Source organism: Homo sapiens, chromosome 3, assembly GCF_000001405.40.
Source record: "Homo sapiens chromosome 3, GRCh38.p14 Primary Assembly".
NCBI lineage: Eukaryota > Metazoa > Chordata > Mammalia > Primates > Hominidae > Homo > Homo sapiens.
Genome location: NC_000003.12, coordinates 176,762,804 through 176,768,777, shown reverse-complemented (window position 1 = coordinate 176,768,777; position 5,974 = coordinate 176,762,804). Strand labels below are relative to the sequence as shown.

General features: G+C 39.0%; 1 pseudogene, besides 1 other annotated feature; it reads right to left on the bottom strand.

Moving 5' to 3' along the window:
- Positions 1,018-2,217: an enhancer, noted in NCBI's record as "MED14-independent group 3 enhancer chr3:176484349-176485548 (GRCh37/hg19 assembly coordinates)". NCBI's record gives its function as "activates an origin of replication core promoter dependent on BRD2, BRD4, P300/CBP and CDK7 cofactors, and independent of MED14, by STARR-seq in HCT116 cells {active_cell/tissue: HCT116}" and the evidence as "EXISTENCE:reporter gene assay evidence [ECO:0000049][PMID:35650434]".
- Positions 5,437-5,545, bottom strand: RNA5SP147 (RNA, 5S ribosomal pseudogene 147; annotated as a pseudogene).

Genomic DNA, 5,974 nt, shown 5'->3' with positions numbered 1-5,974 from the left:
TCCCTAGTAGTTGGGATTACAGGTGCACACCACCATGCCTGGCTAATTTTTGTATTTTTAGTAGAGTCGGGGTTTCACCATGTTGGCCAGGCTGGTCTTGAACTCCTGACCTCAGGTGATCTGCCCACCTCGGCCTCCCAAAGTGCTGGGATTACAGTTGTGAGCCACCATGCCTGGCCCTACGACCTTCTTTTACTTGAATATTGATATCTTTTTCTGGGTTTGGGAAGTTCTCTGTTATTATTCCTTTGAATAAACTTTCTACCCATCTCTTTTTCTGCCTCATCCTTAAAGCTAATAACTCTTAGATTTGCCCTTTGGAGACAATTTTGCAAATGTTGTAGGCATGCTTTATTCTTTTATTTGTTCTTTTGTCTCCTCTGTGTATTTTCAAATAGCTTGTCTTCAAGCTTACTAAATCTTTCCTCTGTTTGAGTTATTCTGCTGTCAAGAGACTGTGAGGCATTCTTCAGTATGTCAATTATATTTTTCAGCTCCAGAATTTCTGGCTGATTCTATTTAATTATTTCAATGTCTTTGTTCAATTTATCTCATAGAATTCTGAATTCCTTCTTTATGTTATCTTAAATTCTTTTAGTTTCCTCAACACTGCTATTTTGAATTCTGTCTGAAAGGTCATATATCTCTGTCTCTCCAGCATTGGCCCTTGGTACATTACTTAGTTTGTTTGGGTCATGTTTTCCTGCTGAATAGTCTTGATGCTTGTGGATGTTCATTGATGTCTGGGTATTGAAGAGTCAGGTATTTATCGTAATCTTCACAGTCTGGACTTGTTTGTACTGATCCTTCTTTGGAAGTCTTTCCAAGTATTAAAAGGGAATTGATTGTTGTTATCTAAGTCTTCGGTTATTGTAGCCATATGTGCATTAGAGGGCATCCCAAGCCTTGTAACACTGTGACTTTTATAGACTCATAGAATGACCACCTTGGCAGTGTTGGGTACGATCCAGGAGAATTCCTTGGATTACCAGTCAGAAACTCTTGTTCTCTTTCCTTCTTTTTCCCTAAACAAAGTCTCTCTCTCTCTCTGTGCTGAGCTGTCTGGTGCTGGGGGAGTGGTGACTCAAATATTCCTGTGGCCACTACCACTGGGACTGTGCTGGATCAGTCCCAAAGCCAGTACAGCTCTGGGTCTCGCCCAAGGCCTGTGGTAACAATTACTTGGCTACCACTTATGTTTGCTTAAGTCCCTAGGGCTCTATAGTGAGCAGGCTGTGAAGTCAGCTAGGCTTGTGTCTTTCCCTTCAGGGCAGTGAGTTCGCCCTACTCTCAGGTGGGTCCAGAGATGAGTCAGAAACCTTACTAATCTTCCCAGTGCTATTCTTTTACAGCTGAGCTTGCACCCAAGTCACAAGACAATGTCCTTCTCACTCTTCCCTCCTCTTTCCACAAGCAGAGGGGTCTTCCCACATGGCCACCACTGCCCCAGGCCCATGACAGGTACCTCCTGGCTACCACCAATATTCACTCAAGGCCAAGCGCTCTTCAGTTAGCTTGTGGTCTGGGAATCTGCCTTCAGGTCACTTGGCTCCTCTCTGACCTGGGTCAGGTCCAGAAATGCCATCCAAGGACGAAGGGTTGGATTTGGGGAGCTCCAGAGCCCACTTGGTTCTCTACCCTACTGTGGCTGAGCTGGTACCTGAGATGCAAGACAGAGTACCCTTTTATCTTTCCTCTCCTTTTCTCAAGCAGAGTCTCTCCCCAACTCTACCACAGCTTGGAATGTGCTGAGTCACATCTGAAGCCATGAAGTCTCAGAGTCTCACCTACCTCCCATGGTAGGTACTACCTTTTTTTACCATTGCTAATAATTCAGGGCCCAAATAGTCTTTACTCAGCAGGTGATGAATGCTACCAGGACTGGGTCCTTCCTTTCAAGGTAACAGGTTCCTTCTGGGTCAGGGTATGTCCAGAAACATCATCTGGGTGCTAGGGCTTGAAATGGGGGCCTCAGGACTCCACCTGGTGCCCTATCCTACTGTGGCTTAGCTGGTACCTAAGTCGGAAGACAAAGCCCTCTTTATGAAATCTCCCTTCCTCTCTCCCCAAGCAGAAGGAAGGATTCTCTCCTGGAGCTGTGAGCTGTGTTGCCTGGAGTTGTGGGAGGGGTGGTGCACGCATGTCTTGATCACCCTGGCTGGTATCTCATTAGATTGCAGGTCCCCTAAGTCCACTGATTCTGAGTCCGGCACAGCATCTGGATTTGCCCAGGAATTACAGTCCTTGTGGCTTAGACTGCCTTTTGAGTTTATTTAGGACCTAAGAGCCCTTGACTCGCAGTAGTGAGGCTTGCCAAAACTCAGATTCTGACCACTGGGATTGGTGATCCCCTCTGGCTAGAACTGGTCTAAATGCTCCCTTTATGGATGCTGGCTGAGTTCTGCCCTGTGTTGCTTTCCACTCTGGCAGAGCAGCACTGAGTTACAATGCAAATTCCCACAATCCCTGCACTCTTCTTCCCCCAAGCACACAGATTCTCTCTCCATACCATGCAGCTGCTACACAGGGTGGGAGTAGGGGTAGGGGATAGGGGAGGGGTGGCATTGGCAATTCAAGACTTTCTTTCCTACTCTCCTCAGTGTCTTTCTCAGTGATATACAGTTAAAATCAGATACTGTGGTCACTCATATAATTTTTGGTTCCTATAAAGGTGCTTTTTTTTTGTGGATAGTTGTTCAATTTGGTGTTCTTGCTGGGAGGACAATTAGTAAAGACTCCTATGTGGCCATCTTGCTCTGCCTCTGTGTTAAAGTTTGAGGTGAGAGATTTTGCAGAAGTCTGATAATTACCCCCACCCATTCCTTCCTGAATTCAGATTTTAATTCAATGGACAGAGCCATACTTCAAAATATTCTGGGCCTATGATCTTATTTCCAAAACTCATACAATATAAATATTTTAGTTTTAAACTGGGTTTTTGTCTGTAATCCTGGTCTACATTCTCATCTTATGATGGGCTGAACAGACATCTCAAAATCCATTTGCCTTCTCGCTTAAACTCTAGAGCCTACCATGGATTGAAAACTAGTGAGTCAGAGACCAAATCCAGATGCCTTCACAGTTTAAAGACTAAATATTTGAATACCTTTATATAGATGTGGATGGTCTACTTCTCAAATTCCCTCATTTCCTATTGTCTTTCACTAGGAGTACATTTAGATTCCTGTCTTGGCACCGGCAGGATTTGAATTTATAATGCTATGCTAGAACTGTCCAGGGAAACCATCATCTGCATTCTAAGCCCTAGGCTTTTTAATACACGCTTCTTTTTCCTCTTTTGGGAAGCTTTCTATGCCCTTCTTCCTTTGTGTTGTTTTACTGCCCTTTTGCATTTGCTTTATTAAAGATCCTGTGCCTACCTTTATATAGCCTTTGTCTTCTGTATACGGCAATTATAGTGTTGGCTTGCCATATACCTCTCTAGGGTCAAGACAACTCACACAGGGCACTCTCCTCCCAAATTACACCTTTTCAGTTAGTTAAAATGTATATATAGAAAGGTAGAACAAATGGCTGCCAATTAGACTCTTATCTATTACCAAATGATAAGTATAAAAACCTATATATAAATTCTAAACTTTTAATTTTGAAGTATGGCTAAACTTACAAAAATATTGCAAAACAAGTTATTGTGTAGCGTTCACCTTTTCTGATGTTTAACATTTTATATAATGATGTAACAATGATCAAAATCAGAAAGTTGACACTGGTACAATAGTATTAACTAAACTATAGATGTTATTTGAATTTTATCAGTTTTCTCTCTAATGCCCTCTTTCTGTTCCCAGTATCTAATATAGGATACTGCATTGCATTTAGTTGTGTGCTTCCTTAGTTTTATTCCATCTGAAATTTTCTCTTTTTTCTTATCTTTCACGATCCTGATACCTTTGGAGTACTGGTAAGTTATTTTGTTGAATGTCTTTTAATTTGAGTTTACCTGTGTATTAGTTGAAGTTTTACATAAATATAGAACCAACAGCACATTAGTGTGCATGTGCATACACACACACACCCCTACAAAAATATTTATTAGAAGAAATGGACTCATACAGTTACGGAAACTGGAAAGTCTAAAATCTGCAGAGCTGATTTCTCAGTTTGAGTCTGAAGGCTGGGAGCTGCTGTAGAATAAGGAAGAGCTAATGTTCCAGTTCAAAGGAAGTGCTGATAATCTAGTTTGAAGGCCATAAAGCAGGAGAATTCTTTCTTACTCAGAGAGGGTCAACTTTTTGTTCTATTCAGACCTTTAACTGATTGAATGAGGGCCACCTACATTATGGAGGGAAATTTGCTTCCCTCCATTAAATTGACTCAATCTGTCAATTTAAATGCTAATCTCATCTAGAAACACCCTCACAGAAACACCCAGAATAATGTATGACTAAATATCTGGGCACCCCATGGCCCAATCAAGTGGATAAATAAAATTAACAATCACAGCCTGATATTTTCTCATGATTAGCTTGAGGTTATGGCTTTACGGCAAGAATACAACAGAAATGATTTTTTTCATTCCTAGTGTACATCAGGAGGTACTTGATTTGCTAATATGCTGCTATTGGAAATGTTAACCTTGATTACTTGTACCAAGCAATAAGGTGGTACTTGTGATGTTTCTCTACTGTAAAGTTATTGTTTTCTCCACTGTAATTTTAAATATCTGGATGGAAATTCTTTGTGACTATGCTAATATTTTGTTTCTTCTCAAACTTTTGCCTACTTGGAGAGTGGTATTTAGAAATCAAAATCTGGGTACTAGCTGTGCTCATTGCTACTGAGGTGGCATTGCCCTAAGGCATATATATCTCTCTTTATTGTGATAAGAAAGTATCTCTCAATTTCTGTTTTCCTGAATATTTTAATTATGAATGGGCCTTGAATTTTGTCTAACACTTTCTCAGCATCTATGGAGATAATCACATCATTTGTTTCCTGGGTTCATTAATATGTTATATATTAATACATTTTCTTATATTGGACCAATCTAATATTCCTGAAATAAACCCCACTTGGTCATGGTATATTTTTGTGGTACTGAAATGGATTTGTTAATATTTTATTTAGTATTTTTGGACTGGTATTCATGAATGGTACTGATTGCTAGTTTTAAAAAAATACTTTATTTGGTTTTAATATAAGTTACACTTGCTTCATAAAAGGAGTTACAGAGTTTTCCTTTCTTTGTAATACTCTGGAATATCTTATGGGGCACTGGAACTATCTGACATTGAAAAGTTTGGAGATTTGGGTCTTTTTCTATTTTTGAAACATTTTCTTATAGTTTTAAATATTAGCACTCTTCCATTTTTTTATTTATCTTCTTAGAGACTCTGATAATTGGAATATTATTCCTTCTTGGCCTGTCTTCCATTCATAGGACTTTCTCTCTGATTCTTTTTACCTCTTTCTTTATGTCATTTTTAACCTTTTGATTATTTATTCTCATCCAAATACTAACCAGGTTTGATCCTGCTTAGCTTCTGAAATCAAATGAGATTGAGCACTTTCAGGGTGGTCTGACTGTAACCATTTTGGTTATTTCCTGTCTTTCTTTTATGTCCCATATGAAAAATATAATTTCAGTTTATTCTCTCTTTTTGGCACCCTGTAATTTATTCTTTATTATCTGAAATATTTTCGACTTTTTCTTAGTTATTTCTGGAGTTCAGTTAGTTGTCATTTCATTTTGCTTTGCTTTTTATTTTCTTTTTTGTTCATTTCTGTGAGTTTTGAATTTCTGATTTAAGGTGGTTTTTATATCTTCAAATGCTTGAGCACAATTATTCTAGGTTATTGGCTTATAGTTTTCTTCTGCTTCATGATTTTTTTGGGGGGTACATTTTCTTCTGTTTATATATATGTATTAAAACACCATCTTTTTAAGATCTTATTTGGATTTTATTTATGGATTTTATTTCCCCTTTGTTCATTTTTTATGGTATTGGGGTAA